The 21,596-nt window shown below is 36.7% G+C and overlaps 1 protein-coding gene across 3 annotated transcripts in view, besides 1 other annotated feature; it reads right to left on the bottom strand.

Annotated features, from left to right (window-relative positions):
• Positions 1-21,596, bottom strand: part of LRRC69 (leucine rich repeat containing 69) — a 116,639-nt gene that overhangs the window by 78,138 nt on the left and 16,905 nt on the right. The window contains exons 3-7 of one of the 3 annotated variants that reach the window (NR_148895.2): positions 13,960-14,032; positions 10,703-10,821; positions 10,284-10,361; positions 7,815-8,010; positions 5,381-5,452 (exon numbers count right to left, since the gene is read on the bottom strand). The exons of 1 other annotated variant lie outside the window; for it this stretch is intronic. Coding sequence is in view for 1 of the 2 variants with exons in the window: in NM_001129890.2 (NP_001123362.1) it covers positions 5,381-5,452; positions 7,815-8,010; positions 13,960-14,032; positions 16,501-16,627 (468 nt within the window). In the remaining variant the exon portion in view is untranslated. Of the gene's footprint in view, positions 1-5,380; positions 5,453-7,814; positions 8,011-10,283; positions 10,362-10,702; positions 10,822-13,959; positions 14,033-16,500; positions 16,628-21,596 lie in introns of all 3 variants that reach the window. One more of the 3 variants, NM_001129890.2, reaches the window with a different exon arrangement.
• Positions 21,352-21,552: a silencer, noted in NCBI's record as "peak7106 fragment used in MPRA reporter construct". NCBI's record gives its function as "represses an SCP1 promoter by STARR-seq MPRAs in K562 erythroleukemia cells {active_cell/tissue: K562}" and the evidence as "EXISTENCE:reporter gene assay evidence [ECO:0000049][PMID:32103011]".

Raw genomic sequence — 21,596 nt, 5'->3', positions numbered from 1 at the left:
GACAGATACAAATAAAAGACATTTTATTTCAGATCATCCTTGTTCTCAAAGGCTTGTTCATTCAAAATCCAATTCTAATTCCAGCAATAAATAAAAATGTCAGAAAAAGTGAACACACGATAAAGAAAAGGTAGAAGAACACCCAATGATTAAAAATCACATATTGAGGCCGGGCGCGGTGGCTCACGCCTGTAATCCCAGCACTTTGGGAGGCCGAGGCGGGCGGATCACGAGGTCAGGAGATCGAGACCATCCCGGCTAAAACGGTGAAACCCCGTCTCTACTAAAAATACAAAAAATTAGCCGGGCGTAGTGGCGGGCGCCTGTAGTCCCAGCTACTTGGGAGGCTGAGGCAGGAGAATGGCGTGAACCCGGGAGGCGGAGCTTGCAGTGAGCCGAGATCGCGCCACTGCACTCCAGCCTGGGCGACAGAGCGAGACTCCGTCTCAAAAAAAAAAAAAAAAAAAAAAAAAAAAAAAATCACATATTGAAGAATATTCATTTAAGGAAAGTGCTTAATATATAATGTTAAATGAAAATGACAAAGCAAGACACGTATTTCTTTATGCAGTATACATTGAATTTTTTTAATGAGAATATAAAAATGAGATTCTTGAAGAAAACAATAAAGTGTAGTCTCTGGAAGGTAAACTTAAAGACACCTTACATTTTACTCTTTCTATACTTATTTACTTATTTTCTACAATGAATGAATTACCAGAAAAATGCTACTTACAAAAGGATAAATGAAGACAACATCTTAAATCTTAATACCCATTCATTCAAGAAGCAGAGGACACTTGCAAACTAATACAATAAATAATTTGGTATGTCTCAGACAGGAATTAGGTATCAAAAAATTGTATGTGAGAAAACTGAGAATGTTCTAAAATTGTGCAATGATAGATAGATCAGATCAAAATAGCCCCCAGAGTTTTGCTTTCTCTCGCTGATCTTTCTGCTATTGATACATTGATAATGCCTTATGGAGAATACTTGGATAGTACTTTTTTTTTTTTTTTTTTTTTGAGACGGAGTTTCGCTTTTGCTGCCGAAGCTGGAGTGCAATGGTGCAATGATGTTGGCTCACCGCAACCTCTGCCTTCTGGGTTCAAGCAATTCTCTGGCCTCAGCCTCCCGAGTAACTGAGATTACAGGCATGAGCCACCACGCCCAGCTAATTTTGTATTTTTAGTAGAGACGGAGTTTCTCCATGTTGGTCAGGCTGGTTGCGAACTCCTGACCTGAGGTGATCCGCCCACTTCGGCCTCTCAAAGTGCTAGGATTACAGGCGTAAGCCACCGCGCCTGGCCAGATGGTACTTTTTTAGAAAGAAAAATCATACTGGGAAATTAAATATAATGAAACCAATCCAGACATAGTATCGTGTGAAAAAAATGTTTTAACAGGCTTTTCTAAAAACACACATGAAGAGGTCCTGGAACGGAAACTTTCTTTTTTTGAGACGGAGTCTTACTCTGTCGCCCAGGCTGGAGTGCAGTGGTGCAATCTCGGCTCACTGCAAGCTCCGCCTCCCGGGTTCACACCATTCTCCTGTACATACGCCTGTAATCCTAGCACTTTGAGAGGGCCGAAGTGGGCGGATCACCTCAGGTCAGGAGTTCGCAACCAGCCTGACCAACATGGAGAAACTCCGTCTCTACTAAAAATACAAAATTAGCTGGGAGTAGCTGGGACTGCAGGCACCCGCCACCACGCCCTGCTAATTTTTTTGTATTTTTAGTAGAGATGGGGTTTAACTGTGTTAGCCAGGATGGTCTCGATCTCCTGACCTCGTGATCCACCCGCCTCGGCCTCCCAAAGTGCTGGGATTACAGGCGTGAGCCACTGCACCCGGCCGAAACTTTTATTTTTATTCCATACTTTTGTTTTGCTTCACATTTTAAGAAACATGCAGAAGTTGTACAACTTACAAAATTTTTAAGTTTTATTTTTTTAAGTTAAAATAAAAGAAAGGAAAAAAGAGGTAAGGAAAGAAACTAAAGTCTCTCTGTAGCAGATCTGACTACATGTTCATAAAAGAACCAAGATATTTCTTTTTTTTTTTTTCAAGACAGGGTCTCACTGTGTTGCCCAGGCTGGAGTATGATCTCAGCTTACTGCAACCTCTACCTCCCAGGCTTGAGTGATACTTTCACCTCAAGTAACTGGGACCACAGGGTGTACCACTAAACCCAGCTAATTTTTTTGGTGGTTTGTTTGTTTTGTAGAGATAGGGGTTTCACCATGTTGTCCAGGCTGATCTTGAACTCATGGAATCAAAAGCAATCCTCCCGCCACAGCCTCCCGAAATGCTGGGATTGCAGCCGTGAGCCACCATATCTGGCCATTTCTGAAACAATTAATTCACTATGTGGTCATGCCAGATTTTTTCTTAGGAACTAAATAACACAGAAACTCTTTTGATCCAACACATATGAACAAATATTTATAATAGTCCAATTTTTTACTGTAAATTTACATTTAATGTATATTCGTATACAAAAGTCCTAGTGCAAATACAGTTTCAAATGTTCAAATGCCATGTGAATTTCAAAAAAAAAAAAATACTGCTCTGAAAAAAATTGCATTTTCTAAATTGCACACCAAATTTATTTAAATCATAAAATAGCAAAACACTCTTAAATAAATACCTATTTTAAAAAGTAGTTATAAGGCAGTAAAATAAACTATTCAAAGGCACTTATGCACAATGCAGTTTCAAATCTTTGAGTTAAGAGTACACTTAAAAGTAATGGGTACACAGAGCTTTATTTTGCTTTTCTGTCTGTTTTTATATATGTTTGAATATTCTCATAGTTAAAAAAGGTTTTTAAAAATGTACTTCACAAGGTTAATGCTTCCTATCATCACCAGTAGAGAGTAGATGATTGCTATAATTATATATTACTTATTAGTATTTCATTATTGGTATATATTTTATACACAACATATAATAGTTTCTATTCCTGGAAACCAACTATGCACAAAATGCTTCATAATCACTATTTGACATAACAACCTTATGAGGTTAGTGGTTTTAATATTGTCGTTATATAGATGAAGAAATAGCAACTCTGAGAAATGAAGCAACTTGTTTGAGATTACGAATTTAGAAAATAGGAAATTAATGCTTTAAATCCATGTGTATATGACTCCAAAGTCTATGTTATTCATGTCTACACTACTGTGTTTCACAAAAAGCATGGCTTGTTTTGAATGTTCTCTACCATTATTTTGAAACTTACTCTCTTTCACTGATAATCATTGTGTGACCTAGAGTCGGTCATTTCTCCTCTAGGTCCACCAGTTGTGCCATATTTTTAATGTGGGAAACTTTGATTTTGAATCAGTTGAACCAAAATAATTTGAAATGGTTGGACCAAAGCTCAGATGAGTTTGCAGATCATCTTATGTGAGAGTGTTTATAGAAATTCCTGAAATAGGTACTACACAGATGAAACCAACTCAGACCTGTCAAAATTACTCCAAATTATTGGGACCTAAGTAATTATGTTTTATCAAAATTGTTAAGTACAGAATCACTTCATAGAAGAAACGGTCAATTAACAGACTACGAAGGTGAAAGGTGAATAATAAATGAAGTTTAAGAACATCAGTTAGATTTATTCATTTAACAAACACTTATTGAGTTAAAATTCAAGACACTGCAGGTATAGAGGAAAAAAAGAGTATTCTTTCTCTGGAAGTTTACCATCCAAAAGCAAGAAAGACTTGAAATGAATTACTCCATTATGTTGCTCAAGCATACCATAGAAATACCGTAGAAAACGTGGCACCAGAAGATACCATAGAAGTAGCAGTGGCACCAGGGGTACCATAGAAGAAGTGGCACCAGAAGGCATCGCAGGACATAGAGAGTTAAATTAAGACACAGAGGGTAAATAAAACCATGTCACATTTTCAAGGTCAATATTAACAATATCCAATTTTTACTAAACATTCAAATCTACACATTTTTGGAAACACTGTGGTGATTCCTTAAAAAATTAAACATAGAATTACCATATGATTCAACAATTTCATCTAAGGATATTCCCAGAGGAACTGAAAGCAGATAAAGAACAAATATTTGTATACCCATGCTCATTGCAGTAATAGCCAAAATGAGAAAACAGCCCAAGGTCCCACAGGTGGGCAGATACCTGTGGATAGACAAAATGTGGTATATACATACAACTGAATATTATTCAGCCTTAAAAAGGAAAGAAACTCTGACACATGGTATAAGATAAATTAATGTTAGTCATATTTTACTAAGTGAAATAAGTCAGTGGTAAAAGGACAAATATCTGGTTCCACTTATCTGGTACCTAGAGTACCTAGAGTAGTCAAATTCAGAGATATATAGTAGATATGTGGTTGCCATGAAGGGGGGAAAGATCTTATTTCAAAGTATTTATAGGAACTTCTAAAATAGGTGTACAAAGGGAATGGGGAGTTGGAGTTGAATGGATACAGAGTTTCAGCTGGAGAAGATGAACAGGTTCTAGAGATGGATAATGCTGATGGTTGTGCAACAATGTGAAAGTACTTAGTACCGTGGACTATACAAGTAGAAATGATTAAAATGGTAAATTTTATGTTGTGTATATTTTGCCACAATTTAAAAACTATACTTTTTTCTAAAACATAGACTTTACACTCATTTTTTTATATTTGAATTACCTTCAGTATAAAATATTGCTCTAGGAGGTAAAAAAAGACTGAAACCTCAATTTAGAGGGGATAAATCAGGAAAAATAATTAATGGGTCAACAACTATTCATTGAATACCTTCTGGATAGATGGACTTCTCATTATTACCATGAATGTTTAAGCATGTTCAATTGGATATAAAAATGCAATAGGAAAAACTGACATTTCTTTCTCAAAAGTTAGGAGTTGCCAAGACAAACGGTTTCTCCATATTTGAAATAAAATGAGGTCAAAATTCATTTTCAAATGAGAAAAAAGTGCATTTTTCATTGTTTATGGCCTAAAAATGACTAACAAAAGTGTCACCTTTGGATTAATTACAAGGGATAAAAATTTATGCTCCAGAAAGTAATATTTTCAAAAAGCCAGAGGTGACCAAAAGCAGTGTGTAATAACCAAAAAATTTAATCATAGCTGATATATTAAAATATTTGTGATAGCAATCAGAGTTAACTTAGTTCAAACAAGTTCAGCAGGCACAGAACACAAAGAAAAAAACAGGAGAGAACAGGTTTTGAAATTCTAAAAGCAAATCTTTGAGTCATTTGTATAATTTAAGGTTTCAATTACTACAGGTTTTACTGTCTGCCCATATTTTTTCTATTCCCAATAGCATAAACAAAATTATTTTTCAATTATAATGGAAGTTGACTCTACTTACTCCTGATGGAAATATCTGAATAATATTTCCAGCTATGTCTAGGATTCTTAGTTTTTTAAGATCACAAAGTTCCTGTGTCAGAAAACAGAAGAGAGAGATTTTTTAAATCTAATATTTAAAATCATAAGGAAAATCATAAATTTTTTTAAAGCTCCAACATGATGAAGGTGGCCATCTTTTCTAATCACTGTACTGACCAATTCTTCAGCACATCTTCCCGAGCAGACCCCCATATCCTGGACTGCCAGCTCTTTGAATTCTTCATTTCCTCTGACCACTCCAGGGCAACATAACATGGCCACTGTGAGTTACACTACATCTAGGTTGAAATCTCACCTCTGGCAGGTACTATAACTATGGGCAAATTTCTTAATTGCTTTGTACTTCAATTTCTTTATTTGTAAAATGAAAATGCTAATAGAAGCCCTTAAGTCATACGGTTGTTGAATGGATTACTTAAGTTACTGAAAGAGCTAACAGCTAGAGGCTGTCTGCAATCCCCATTCCCTACAGCTAGGCAGCAAATCCTTGAAGGGAGTCCTCTTCTTAAGTCCTACATAGTCTTCCATTGCCATGATACTCTCCTTTGTATTGTTTTAGCTGCAGAGATTTTCAGACTCCAATGTGTTCCTTCAGTATCTCATGTTATGATATAAGGGCTTCCACCCTACTTGAAAACACTTCATAGCATTACTTCCGTTGCTGTCGACTCTTGCATTTTCATTTGTTTGTTTTTGCTGCCATGACTGCCACTATTATTGCTGTTGATATTTGTTGCTGTCTTTTTCAAATCTTTGCATGTGTATACCCCTCACAAGTATTCAATGAAGGTTTAAAAACTCACAAATAGGCAAGGACAAAGTTGTGCTATGAGAATGAGAAGTGTTACGAAGGGTTAAGGAAACAGTGATATATGGAAAATTTGGTATTAGGAGGTCAGGAAAGGCTTCCTGGAAAAAGTGAAGTTTAAGCTGAGATTCTCTGAGTTATTTGGAACAAATGATGTTCCATTAAGAGCAAACAGTTGTTTGGGATAGAACTATAAGAAGTCTAGTGTGATGGTTAATTTTAGGTGTCAACTTGACTGGATTAAGGAATACCTACAATGCTGGTAAAGCTTTATTTTGGGTGTGTCTGTGTGAGGTTGTTTCTAGAGGAGATGGGTGTGTGAGTCAGTAGAAGGGGTGGGAAAGATACATGTTCACTGTTGCTGGGCACCATCCTATCAGTTAGTGACTTGATGAAAAAAAAAATGTAATTTCCTCTCTCTCCTGGAGCTAGGACACTTCTTCTTCTGCCCTTGGACCTCAGAACGCTGGGCTCTCCAGCCTTTAGACTCTAAGATTTACACCAGTACCCCTCCCCTCCAGCCACCACCACAACCTCCCAGTAATCAGGCCTTTGACCTCCAACTGAGAATTACACCGTTTGCTTCCCTGGTTCTGAGGCTTTCAGAGTTGGACTCAGCCACATTACCAGCACTCCAGGGTCTTCAGCTTGCAGATAGCCTGCTGTAGGACTTCTCAGTCTCCATAATTATGAATACCATCAACTACTTGCTATCCTCCTGCCCTGTCACTTCCTGCTAGTGCCTCTCATCTGCCATATCCAAGAGGAAACCAGAGGACAAAGAAGTTCACTGCTGCCCACACAGGTCAGTCTCCCAAGCAGAAGGCAGGACAGAAAGTGAATATGAAGGAAAAAAGGAGAGCCAGTACATATTCCAAAGCCAAAATGAACTTGTATTTTGTTCTGTATACATCGTTACCAGATAAAATATATAATGCTCACTTAAATTGAAATATCAAGGCTGGGTGCGGTGGCTCACGCCTATAATCCCAGCACTTTGGGAGGCCGAGGTGGGCGGATCACGAGATCAGGAGTTTGAGACCAGCCTGACCAGCATGGTGAAGCCCCGTCTCTACTAAATTATAAAAATCAGCCGGGCATGGTGGTGTCTGCCTGTAATCCCAGCTACTCAGGAGGCTGAGGCAGGAGAATCACCTGAACCCGGGATGTGGAGGTTGCAGTGAGCCAAGATTGTGCCACTGCACTCCAGCCTAGGCAACAGAGCAAGACTCTGTCTCAAAAAGAAGAAAGAAAGAAATACCAAACAATAAATAGGTTTTTTAGTCTATTCCATGCAATATTTGCAACATACTTATAGTAAAAAATTTAATCATTGCTTATCTGGAATTCAAATTTCAGTGAGCATTCTATATTTGTATTTACTAAATCTGGCAGCCCTAGCTATGTGGGATAATTCAAATTATAGCCTTCTTCTGTCATAGGGATTTGGGAACTGACTACATTTAATCTGAGAGAAAGCAAGTGGTGGCTTATACTCAGATACCCAAATCTAATCTATAACCACCTCCCATCATGTTGAGTTCTTCTCCAACAGCAAACTACTGTGGTTCCATGTTTTGCTTACCTCCGGCAAAACTCCAATGTTGTTTCTGGCTAGCAAAAGCTTCTGAAGCTTCTTCAAGAATTTAATCTCTTCAGGTATGCATATCAGCTGATTGTAGTTAAGTTGAAGTTCAACAAGATTCTCAAGAAAACAAAGTTCTCTAGGAATGCTGGCTAGTTGGTTATAATTTATACTCATATAAGTAAGACTTTTTAATCTAAAAAAAAAAAAACACCAAAGTATATGAATGAAACTCACAAGAATAAGAGTCCACTATATAGGCCCAACTTAGCAGAAGCCATGTGTCAATTTATTTTTTGTAGCTCTTCTGAGCTTACTTCAGTCAAGTGTTTACAACTATTGTGATCATGAGTATAAAAAGTTTTTGCTGAAATTTAATTTTTAAAGATCTTTTGTAATCAGATGGCTTATGTTAAAAGTATGTTAGGTAATCAAAACCTAGATTTCAGAAAAAGAAAATTATATTTCCTTTCTTTATACATATACATTGGCCATACCCAAGAGAAAGCTAGAGGACAAGGAGAACACGGACATACCTATGTATATAGATCAATACAGGAACAGGCATAAGCATACATAGACATAAATATACCTAGTACCAAATAGATATGAGTACTGCTCAATTGCTGTGGAAGTTCAAAGATGAATCAGCCACAAATTCTGCCCTTTTGGATGCCCTGGTTTAGGAGATATTAAATAGAGCCACAAACTGAGAACAGCAAATGCCATTGGCTAAGGAGAAAAAGGTTAAGGAAATTTGAGTCTGTAATTGCAGATATGGTTCCTGAAGCATATTGCAAGTTTTTCTAAAGAACTGACATTTTGAATTTGGCCCTGAATAAAAGAACTTATAAAATAGGGCAATAAGAGGGAATAGTAAGCTAAGAAAAATATTATGAATAAGGAAGCAGAAGGGAATTAACATTACTAAGCACAACTACATGCCTGTGCATTAAATTTAATAATCATCAACATGACTCTGAGGTTGGAATTACTACTCTTATTTTAAAAGTGAGGAAAATAAAGCATTAGAGGCAGTAAATAAATTCCCCAAGTTACCTATCTAGTAGGTAACAATGTCAAAATTCTAATGCAGGTGTGTCTGTTTGCAAAGCTAAGAGTGAAAACATGTAATGATCTCAAGGTTGAAGTGTGTTAAGATTGAAGTAATGTAAGAATGAGGGAACTAAATTTTTAGGCAGTTGAAAATGGGAGACTGGAGGTTAGGAAGTCATCAGTGCTAGCAAAGGGAATTTTGAGGATTCTACAGATCTCTCCGTACATAGTAGAAGCCATATGAATACCTGGGATTGATAGGAAAAACAACAAAAGAAAATGGGCAGAGAGAAGAGAGAGGAAGCCAACAGAAAGATTCTTGAGAAATATAAACAACTGACCATTAAAAATTAAAGGCACCCAGCAAAGTTATGAACACAGAAGTAGAAGAAGAACCAGATTAGCAAGGAATCTCTGAAGGTGTGAGAAAAGAAAATTTCAAAATTAAAGAGATGGTCAAAAGTTTAAATGTTAAAGAGAGATAATCCAAACTAACAAACAAAACTAGTAGAAATAATGCCGAGTCACAAACTACAAAGTCAATATTTAAAAAATCTATTGTATCTCCATATTGTAGCCACAAACAATTGGAAAATAAAAAGTTTAAGATTTCCATTTATAGTAATGTATAAAAAAACCTTCATGAAATAGTTAAGAGTACATATAACAAAAGACATGAGGGACCTCTACACTGAAAACTATAAATTATGAATGAGAGAATGTAAAGGGGCTTTAAATAAAAGTAGAGATATATTATATTCAGGTATAGAAAAGCAAAATATTGCTAAGATATCAACTTTTTAATATTGATCTATAGATTCAATAATAGATTCAAATACAAATTTTGACAGCTTTTTTTGTATAAGACTTGACTTGGGCTGGGTGCTGTGGCTCATGGCTGTAAACCCATAACTTTGGGAGGCCAAGGTGGAAGGATTGCTTGAGCCCAGGAGTGTAAGACCAGCCTGGAAAACATAGTGAGACCCCATCTTAAACAAAACAAAAAAAAAAAAAGACAAATCAATTTTAAAATTTATATGGAAATTGAAAGGACCTAGAATAGCCAAACTATTATAAAGAATAAAATCAAAAGACTCACTTTACCTGATTTCAAAACTTACAATGCAGCTACAGCAATCAAGATAATCAAGATCATATGGTATTGGAGAAATGACAGTGCTATGGTCTGAATATTTGTGTCTCTTCAAAATTCATATGTTAAAATCTAATCTCCAATGTGATGGTATTATGAGATGGGGCCTTTGGGAGATGATTAGGTCATGATGATGGGGTAAACCTCATAAATGTAATTAATGTCCTTACAAAAGGCCCCAGAGAGCTCCTTGCCCCTTCTACCATGTGAGGACACAGTGAGAAAGGTGCCACTCTAAGAACCAGGAAGTAGACCCTCACCAGACATCACATCTGCCAGCACCTTGGTCTTCACTTCCCAACTTCCAGAACTATGAGAAATAAATTTCTGTTTTACTCCTAGAAATTTAAATGAAAATGAAATTAAACATGTTTACAAAAAGATTTGTACAATAATGTTTATTGTAGCTTAATTCATAATAGCCCTAAACTGGAAATAACCCAAATGTACATCAATAGGAGAAAAGACAAATGATTTAGGGCATATTCACGCAATGAAATGCTACTCAGAATAAACAAAAACTGCCAGGCATGGTGGCTCACGCCTACAATCCCAACATTTTGGGAGGCCGAGGCAGGCAGATCACTTGAGGTCAGGAGTTCGAGACCAGCCTGGCAGACATGGCGAAACCCCATCTCTACTAAAAATATGAAAATTAACTGGGTGTGGTGGCAGGCACCTGTAATACCAGCTACTCGGGAGGCTGAGGCAGGAGAATCATTTGAACCTGGAAGGCGGAGGTTGCAGTGAGCCGAGATCATGCCATTGCACTCCAGCCTGGGTGAGTAGGGCCAGACTCTGTCTCAATAAAAAACAAAAACAAAAACAAAAAACAAACCAATGAACTACTAATAAATGCAACAGTTATATGAGTCTCAAAAAATATGCTAAGCAAAAGAAGACAGACACAAAAATGTATATACCATATTCCATTTATTTAGTTCTAGGATTGGTAAAACTAATTTGTAAAGAACACAGAAATCAGAATATTGATTGCTTATGAGAGGTAAGAATTCACTGGAAGGGTGTATGAGGAAATTTCTGGGCTGAAGAAAATGTTCTACATCTTATTGGTGTGCGTACATTTGTCAAAATGCATTGAATAGTACAAAATGCATTGAATAGTTTTATGTAATTTTTATTCAGCAGAAAAAAAAGGCCATTATATTTGACTATGTAAAGGACAGTAACGACTTTTGAAAATGATCTAAGGTAGAATGGAGAAGACAGAAGAGAATTTACAATGTGTTACACAGGAAGCAAAAGCAAAAGACACGGGACTTCAGAGAGAGATGACAAGGAAGCAAGAGCGAGAGGAAGGAAAGAAATAGAACAATGGAGAGAAAGATGCTGAAAAGAAGGAAATTGAGGGAGCTCAAATTTCTCAGGATAATAGGAAGTGAAGTTCTTTGCAGTATAAAGGGTCAAAGAAGGACAACTCAGCACTGAAATGGAGTAAAAATGTGTGGAGCAGGTCCTGTGGGGAAAGGGATGGGGAATTTTCTTCATTAATCATTTTTATAATCATTTTTATTATCATTTTTATTGATTCTACTCTGATTTACTATATCATGGGAGTTGGTTTTAACTTTTTTGTTCTTTCAAGGCAATAAAATGAGCTCAGATCCTATTGTTCATTTGTCCATCATTCATTTGTGTGAGTAAAGAGCAGGGAGAGAAACAAATATCTGCCATTGTTCCCGATTCCACAAAGCAGGGAGATGTCCTACTTTTCCAAAGAAAATCTATAGGAGATACACTTGTAGATTCTCCCTGACATCTGTCTTCCCCAGGAGATTGAAGAACAACTTCACTGACTGACGAATTTGGAGAAAGAACTGAGCCTGCTGACTTAGTCCCTTGCTCTCTCTCTCTGTCTTCCAGACTCATTCTGTCACCAGGATGCCCATGCTGTCCTCTTCCTGTGCCTGTGCAGCGCTGTCCATGACAGAGCTGTTTAGGTGTAAAACTCTTACCTGCCCAAATTTGACTCCAAGTCCATGAACTGATATTCTGTAGTTTAAATGAGCCAAAAACAAAACTCCTTTTCCCTCTCCTAAGTTCTAAATAAATTGAGAAATAAGATATGGAATTTAGAGAGAAGGAAATCAAACATCAGCACAGAGCTGACATGATCACTCTGAGTCCCTGCTAGCCCTCCTCTGCATTAAATATACCACCCCATTCACAGCCTTTCCTGCTGAGGCTGCTGCTTACTTCATGGCAGGGCAAGAGGAGAATGCCAAACTACATATGCTCAATGCTTTGCCCAAATCCACTGAGAAGTCATTCCTTTGTCTCTGGAAATCAGTGAACAAAGGGAACAGAAAGAAGCTAGAATAAAAATAACAACCAATAATAATAAAAGCTAACATCCATTGAGCACTTACTCAACCCTAATACCTTTTATGTCCAAGGCTCAACCCTAAATATATTGTATGAATTTGCTTAACTGTCAAAACAATCCGATTTATTTTCTGAAAATACTATCATCATCCTCATTTTGCAGGTGAAGATGTTAAGATATAGGAAAGTGAAGAAACTTTCCCAGGCTCAGAAATGGAATTCTACTTAGAGAGATGACCAATTAATTGATATCTAGTAGGATATGGCCAGAATATAGACAATCCAGAGTTAACTATAAGACAGAATAGACCTATACACTCTGCAATCCTACTTTCTTCAGTGAAAGCATTCTTTCATCTTTCTAACATATTCCCTTAGATTTACGATTCCTTGAATACTGTAATTTGTATTCCAAACAGAGATAAGTGTATGAAATTGTGAAATCATAACGTGTTATAGCTGCAAAAACTTTGAGGTTCATCTATTCAAAATTCTTTCTTTAGAGATGAGAAGGCAGCAGTTCAAAGTAGTTAAATTACTGGTCCAAAGGCATAAATCTAGTTGCACAGAGATATGCCCTGAACCTCATTCATGAGATCTCCCAAGGGATTTTTAAAATTATATCATCATCAATATATACATCGATTGATAAGCTGAATTTGTAAAAAAGCAAGCAGACAACTATTAGCATGGCATTTTCATTGCTGCAAATATTTATCTTTTATAGAAATTAGATTGATTCAATTCTTTTCTAGTTGCTCTGACTTAAAATATTGCTTTCCTTATAAAAATATATTTGGAAAAAATAATACATTGGCCAGAGGTATAGACAAGTAAATTGGAATAGATGTTAGGTGCTGCAGAAAGCACTGTGTTGAGGACTGTTCAAAGTTTTGTATTCTCTTTTAAAACCCTGGATGCTGCTCTTGCTCTGTGACACATCTGTTTCTGCTCAACAGGCAATAAAGGGAGTCTCCAAAGTAAACCTGAACAGAGTTCTCTCTCCATCTGTCAGAGGAAAAGCCCAAGAGCGTGTTTTGCCTACAGAAGGACAAGGCTCTCAGCTGGCTCCAGAAAGGCATTCTGCCTGTGCAGATATGCAGGATAAGGAAAAACAGCCTTTTTTTTTTTTTTTTTTTTTTTTTTTTTGGTTAATGACAATAAAATGTGGGGTTTTTAAAAACGAAAATGACATTGCAGTTTTAAATCCTTAGTTTTTACATTACCTTTTCCATCAAGCTCAAAATGGTTTACAATACACATGCGAAATAACATTTAATGTGCCCAATTCTGTGGCTAACCAAGCTCCAAGAACCTCAGAGTTGGGAAATCAATGAGACCATCAGTTTTAGAACTTTATGTTTCAAAGCCCAATGTTTACACTAAGATTATCATGCTGTTTCTCATTTCTCCAAAGTGTTTAAGGAATCATCTGCTTAAAATTAGTGGCTTGCCTCAGTCCTTCAGATCCCTCTTTGCTATGTATAAATCTCACAGGGACTTATGCTAGGCATAATGCTTTCAAATGACCAGGGTGGGGATAGAGGAGGGGCACGATTGTTAACCAAGTCTTGCTATAAACAAAATTACCTGCTGACTTCTTGAGGAAGCTGCGTAAGATGATTGTTGTTCAGATTAAGCAGGATTAAATTTTGTAAGCCATCTGTTAGAAAATAATTTTAGTCACTTTAGCCATCTGTTAGATAATTTTTAGTCACTTTTCTACTTTTCTACATACCTTTGTTTTCCTTCTGGTTCTTGCCTTGGCCAAGGCTCTTTTGGTGGTGGTAACAGAAACCCTCTTAAACTAGCTCAAGCAAAAAGGAGTAATTTATCACAAAGTTACAAATCTAAGTCACTGTGCCTGTGGAATGAGGATGCAACCAGGCTCATCAAAAACTGGAATCAGAAGCTAAAAGCACCCAGAACCTGAGAATGTACTGTCTGAATATCTCTGCAGAAAATATAATTTAGTTCTTCATTACAGCTTCTCTCATTTTCGTATTTATAATATCTTACCCGCTCTCTCTTTCCTCCCTCCATTCTCTCTTTTGAACATGTTTGCTCTATTTTTCTATGTACTCATAACCATATCACAACTTCTGAATTTGAATGTTCATTGACAGGGAAGACAGAGCTTTCAAACTCACATGTCCACAGGAATCAAAATGATAATCCCATGCCATGTCAGACAGGGCCACCACCATTCAGCCAGCTCTGGCAATTGTCATATGGGAACGCAACTGCAGTGTTGCTAAATCTTTCTTTTTTAAAACAGATTTTTAAAAAGAGCCAGAGATCCAGACTTCTTTGTGAACTCTCCTGATTTGAAAACATGGGCACCTAATTCAAAGATTTTTAAAGGCAAAAAAAATAGAATCAACTTATTTATGAACCAGCTTCAGCCCATGGGCCACCAGTTTGCAATCTCTGCCTCAGGTCATGTAATTATCTCAAACCAATTAAACTGTTTTAGACTCTATCACAATTCCCAAGAAAGAGAAAATATGACAAGCTTAGCTTGGGACCCAACTCCAGCCCTGATCAATCTGCTCTGGTCAGGGAAATAGGGTCATGTAATGCAACAAGGTTATTCTACCCATGCTGGGCAGCATTAAACTCCCTGACATCAAACTACTTCTGACCTTGAATCATCAGGACCTGACATAGAACATAACTTAGGTCAATCACATGGGATTTTCAAAGTTCAATAACCCCAAGTCAAGAATGTTCCCAACTCGAAGAAATGATAAGTGTTTGAGATGATGGCTATGCCAATTACCCTGATCTGATCACTATATATTATAGGTATCAAAATATCACTATGTACTCCATGAGTATGTACAATTGTTATCTGTCAATTAAAAAAATAATTATTTTTAAAAAGAAATATAGAAACTAAAGACATTCAAGAGCACTCCAAACAAATTTTATATACATATATAAAATATATCTAAACAGATATAGATACAGATATATATATACCTAACTTACCTCAAATTTAAAGGCAACATGATACAAAATTCCTTATAGAGCCTTAATTAGTATAAATTAGTATGTTCAATATTGTTTATGTATATCAGGTTGCACTTAAATTTGTCCCCTCAGTATAGGTCATAAAATATTATTATCTATTGATTTGCATGACCTTAACTTTTTTAGTGTAAACTGTTTTCTTCCAAGGTAAATTGTAACTGAACTCTGGTCTGTGGCTTTGCATATATAAGGTGTTCAAGTTCAATAATTGTTTGTTACATCTATTATTTTGGAAAAGAATATTGTTCCAAGATACATGACCTAAGATTTTAAAGTACCTTTAAAAAGACAGTACTAGAGTCTACTTGTGCTATTTGCCAAATATAACCCCTAATTTATTGCTGCATGCAGTAATGCCATTAATAAACTCTGTGTGAAGATGACAATGATTATATATAGCACCCATGCCTCAAAAGTTCATAGAAATTTATAAATTTTATAATATTTCTCTCATTTTACTACTAAGGACCAACACAGAAAGTGGTGAAGTACCTTACATTAGTTGATAAAGCTATAAAAGCCATGTAGATCTCTTTGTCATACATTTGTCCTTAAGCCCACTCTAGGAATATTAAATAAGAATAGCATCATCTTGAATGGAGAAATTATTAGTTAATGGGAAAAAGAAAGAAAAAAATGCTTATTGGATCTCATATCTTTTCTTTAAAATTCTCCCCAAATTGATTTAAGTTTAGCATCTTGATCAAAAAGTGTGACTTAATATCTAAGACAGAATAAAAAGTGAAAAGAACAAAGCTACAGTATAGCTTTACTTGATTTGATTTCCCAATAGAATTATCTCTGGCTTAGGAAAAGGGTCCCCAGATTCACAATCTGACTTTATACTGATTCTACAAAGAGGAAAATTCATTAACACTGATGCTTACTTATTTTCTTAGGTCTACATGTAAATAAACATATGATACAATACTTTTTTAAAAGTGTTGTCTCCTCCTATATTTCAAGAGTAGTATGTAAATATCTCCAACAAAAAAAGATTAAACATGCAAAATTCTTTTTCATTTCAGTCTCATATTATTAAATATGAGAGATTAAATTTGATGCTATAATGTTGTTCCTTGTTGATTAAATTACCACAGGCTCCAGGTGCAAATCTACAGATCCTATTTCCAGATAAATGGAGATTCTTCAGAGATGTAAGATATTTCATCTCTTCCGGAACTTCTTCTAAAAGGTTGTTTCCCAGATTTAGTGTTGTCAACTGCAAACATATAGAGGTTTAATGGACTCATATATCATCCAACTTCAAATGAAAAAAAGAAATAATTTAAGCTCCCTTGCTCACATCTATGTAACCTAAGAAAACTTCAAAATATTTTTAAACAATTATTTCAGTTATACCTAAAGTTATCTTTACAAACAAAGTTCATTTGAGCTTCATGCTCACTTTATGTTAATTAAAGCACAATTTAATTTTTAATTAGAGCACTTAAGTTCATTAAAATTATATTACTAACCATCCCAAGGATATGTAAAACCACAACCGATGATCCATTTATAAATCATTTGAACAATTTAAGAGTATCTGAACCTTGTGACCTATAGAATCAAACTATTAAACACTCAGCAAAGGAGCTAAGTTACTGAAAACAGAAACATAGCCAAAGATCTGAGGTCCTCCTGACATACTACTCCCAAATGAGCTAGGCCATAAGACCACTCTATTACATGTACACAGCCTGGTACTGCAGGCTGTGTGGGCTCTGTGGGTGATGTCACTCTGTGGGATCACAAAATTTAGAAAACAAACTATTGAAATGGTATAATGAGCGTAGAAAAGATCTACCCTACAGTTATCTGTCCTACAGAGAACAGATTGGTCAGGCCTAGGAAGAACTGCACATAACGGGAGTTAAAAAGTTCCTCCTTGATGTTGTAATCCAATAAATAAGTGATACAGATTGTTCCCAAAAATATAGTAATATTCTTTGTTGTAAAATCTAATTATACTTTCCAAAATACAAAGAGTCTTTTACTTTACTCCTAAACATAATTTACTATTCAGGTTTAATTACCAATTGCATACTTTAGAATTTTAATAGTAAGGGCCAAATAAAAGGAATCTTGGAAGTTTTAACAAACTAATGAATTTACATAAAACCAAAAAAATTAAGAAGAAAACTGAAGCCATTCACAATTTATATTTAAATGTCACTTAGTACTTGTTATGGATGTAAGACAATGATTTAAATTAACACAAAGAAATATACATTGATATTAAAATGAAATTTCTCATCCTAAGAATTCATGGTAAAGGTTTTACTTGCATATGTGCTTTTGTCTAAGAATTACCATTATCCTAATTTATAACAGTATAATACATCTACTACCATGTTTGAGGCCTTCTTCTATTGTAAATGTGAAGTTAAAATACATTCATGTAGCTATTTTATCCAGAGTCTGTAATTGTATTGGTTTCCTATAACTGCTATAAAAAATTACCACAAACTTTGTGGCTTAGAACGACACAAATTTATCTTATATTTCTGGAGATCAGAAATCAGAAACAGTCTCACTGACTAAAATCAAGCTGGTGTTCCTTTCCGGAAACTCCAGGGGATGATCTGTTTGCCTGCCTTTCCTAACTTTCAGAGTCAGCCTCCATTCCTTGGCTTATATGCCCCACTTTCCCCTTTAAAGCCAGCAATGGCTGGTTAAGTCTTTTTCAAATCATATCACACTAATGCTGACTCTTCCACATTTAAAAACCTCATAATTACACTGGGTCCACCTGGATAATCTAGGGTAACCTCCCATTCTCCAGGTTAGCTGACTATCCACCTTACTTCTGGCTGCACCCTTAATTTCCCTTTGTCATATAACCTAACACATTCAGAGGATTGGGGGATTAGGTGTGGGCATCTTTGGGGGTCCATTATTTGCCTATCAAAGTGACTATTTGCAGTCTCTTCCAAAACAAGGTAGATTTCATTCTTTTGCCTAAATTTAGTGAAACATGCACAGCAGTCTAGCAGTACTGACAGCCCAAGAAAATCTCCCTGAGGACTGGCGAGATACGCAAGAATGTGTCAGGCATTGTGAAAGGTCCAAGATTTTACCCAGTTTACAAGCTAACAAGTGAACCTGCCACAGTTTCATGAATGCTGGTAGAAAACATGAGACCCCTGGGAAAGATACAAGGGACCGTTTACTACTTAGAGCAATAGAAGTGTCCAGAATATTACTATTTTTGCACTGAAAATGCAAAGAACACAAAGAGATACCTAGATGTGAAGTAGGCTGTGTTACTGAACAGGAACAATGAGTTTTTTTTGATGGGCAAATCTTTTATGATGAATCTTTTATGATGGGCAGTAACCATGCCTGCCCTTCGGTCCAGAGGGAGACACTATTTCTAATTTCCAAGCTTGTCTGCTATGTAATTATACTGGAAAAATTGGTCCAAAACAAAGCCAGCCAGTGCCTCTGTTAACAGAATGTGCAGAAGTGTGAGACTCATGGTGAATTATCACCTAAAAAAAGGGATGGTAACATGTATTTTTAAAGTAAACAAGAAACAGCTTGTAATGTCCCACACTATCAATGCTCTTCTGTGTATTTCTGAGGGCATATACTGTACAGTGCTCATTTTGTATGTTATGTGGTAAGTTCTTACATAAGAGTTAGATATATTTTTGTCATTGTGTTTTACAGAATATAAGGGTCTGGCCCAGATATATGAAGATACATAGTAACTAGATTTCATCATATGTCAAAGGGAAATCACAGATTATAATCAATCTTGACTGTAAAGCAGGGTGGGTTTCAGTTTTGGTTTAGTTTTTGTTTTTTTGTGGGTTTTTTGATGCTTAGAAATATATCCATAAACAAACAGCTTAAAAATGCAGTCTAAACTGCACATATTCTAAGTGAATACATATCTCTTAAAGCAGGTGGGTCACCATTCATTTATTCACTCATTAAAAAATATTCATTGCATGCATAAGACATGTAACATCTTTGCCCTCAAGGCACTTACACAGTAAGAAAGCAACCATCCAATGACTAAATGGCTAAACAAATTAATACAAAAATAACAGACAGTATTAAGTGTTCTAGAGACAATTTAAAGAGTGAGGAGAAAGTGATTTGTTGATCAGGAGAACCTGTCTTAGAAGTTGATATATAGACTGAGATCTGAGTGACAATAAGGAAGAAGAAATTGTCAAAATAAAGACCCCAATGGAGGCACATTCTTGGTGTGGTTGAGGAGCCCCAGGAGATGCAGCTAATGTGGCTGAGCACTGCAGGTAGAGGAACACTCAGCGAAAAAGAGGTTGGAAAGGTATACTTGGGCCAGATTACATATGGTTTCATAAACTAGGGTAAGGGGTTGGGATTTTACTCTAAGTTCAGTGAGAAATGACTGTAGGGTTTTAAGCATATGTGTAACATTATTTGACATGTGTTTTAACAGGATCATCCTGGCATCTGTACAGCAGAATCTGCAGGGGTAGCAAGAAGTGAAACACAAAGAGAACACAGAGGCAATACTGCAGTGGTGCAGGCAAGAGGCAATGGCTTTAGCTAGGTAGTGGATGGTGGACCTGGAGAGACGTGGATGGGTTTGGGATATGCTTTGGATGAAGAGCCAGAATGTTGTATGATGTAAGATAAATAGAAGAATCATGAGTAGCACCTAACTTTGGAACTTGAGCACCTGAGATGGGGAAACTGGGACAAGGGCAGGTTTGGAGGAGGGACAAGGAATCAAGAGTTTAGTTTTATCCCTGTTAAAATTAAGAAGCCTTTTAGATCTTTAAATGAAAATGTCAAGTAGGAGCTGTAAATGTAATTCTAGGGTTCTCCGGAGTAATCAAGAGCACAGAATAAATTTGTGAGCTTTCAGTAAGTAAAAGGCATCATGTGGAATTTTAAGAGATGAGAATGCAAGCCCAGCAGAGGAACTGACTGAGGAGTGGCTGAAGTAGAAGGCAAAGATAGGCCACTTAAAGCATCTGGTACACCACATCCCACAGCTGAGTCGTGCTCCATCCGCAGCTACCATGAATTTATCCCGTGAGGACTTTCTCCTGCGCCCTTCTTGGAAGAATTTCCCTTAACTGCAAGGAAGGGCTTTACCTGGAAGGTTGTGCCTCTGCTCCATCCTTCCAGACAGCTGCTACACCATGGCAGATGCCAGGACATAACAGCCCAACCCCTTTGCCTCTGTGCTGCAGGGCATGCCCCAAAGCTCTGAAGGGATTGGGCTGAGACTACATTTCTCCTGGAACCACCTCTTTATCCAGGTTCTTTCCCTGCCCTGTCCAGATTCCCTCACTCCTGGGAAGGTTTCTTCTGAGAGAAATGCCTCAATATTACAAAAATCTATGTTTCAGGATTTCCCAGATATATAGTGTAACAGAATCCAAGGCAAAAGCAAAAGAAACAAAAAGTATTTTAAAAAGGAAAATTTGGGACATATCCCAGGGGAAGGCTAAACAAAATTAAAGCATCAAAATAACCACTGGATTTAGCAATTGGAAAGTGATTAGTGACCTTGAAAATAGGGGTGAAGTGTTGGGGAAGAAAGTCTAATTGAAGTGGGCTGTGCAGAAAATGTGAGAAAGCAAAGACAACAACTAATAGACAATTCTTGTAAGAACTTTTGCTATGAAGGGAAACTAGAAAATGAAGAAGAAGCTGGAGTTCCCCCCCACCCCCAAGATAAATGATAGTATAGCTTATTTATGTGCTGATGGAAATAACCCTGTAGGGATTAGAAACTCATGCCTTAAATATGGGGACACTCACAGAATCAAAATCCTTTAGAAGATGAGACAGGTACAAAGTACAAGTGGGTGCTGGCCTTAGATAAGTGAAAGGGCTCTTCATCAAGGGTAGTAGGAAGGAAGGTAGGAAAGGGTGAGTGAGGATCAGATAAGTAGATGAATTCGTGATGAAAAGATGAGAGAGTTCCTGAAGGATGATGTCTGTTTTCTCACGGAAATATGAAACAAAGTCATCTGCTGAGAGGAGGAGATTAGGAGGTTTGAGGAAAAGGAAAAAGTCACTTTGAAAGGCAATCTAGGGGAATGTAGTAGGGTGAACGACAACCACAGTTGATTATCTCATCCAAGTTAGCTCCCAAGATATTATAAAATGGATAGATGACCTAGGAAAAGACATTTTATCTGGATAACCACATGGTCCTTTGACTGGAAGAAGCT

This window comes from Homo sapiens, chromosome 8 (assembly GCF_000001405.40).
Source record: "Homo sapiens chromosome 8, GRCh38.p14 Primary Assembly".
Lineage (NCBI taxonomy): Eukaryota > Metazoa > Chordata > Mammalia > Primates > Hominidae > Homo > Homo sapiens.
Note: the sequence above shows the minus strand (reverse complement) of the source record. Positions and strands in the feature narration are given on the sequence as shown.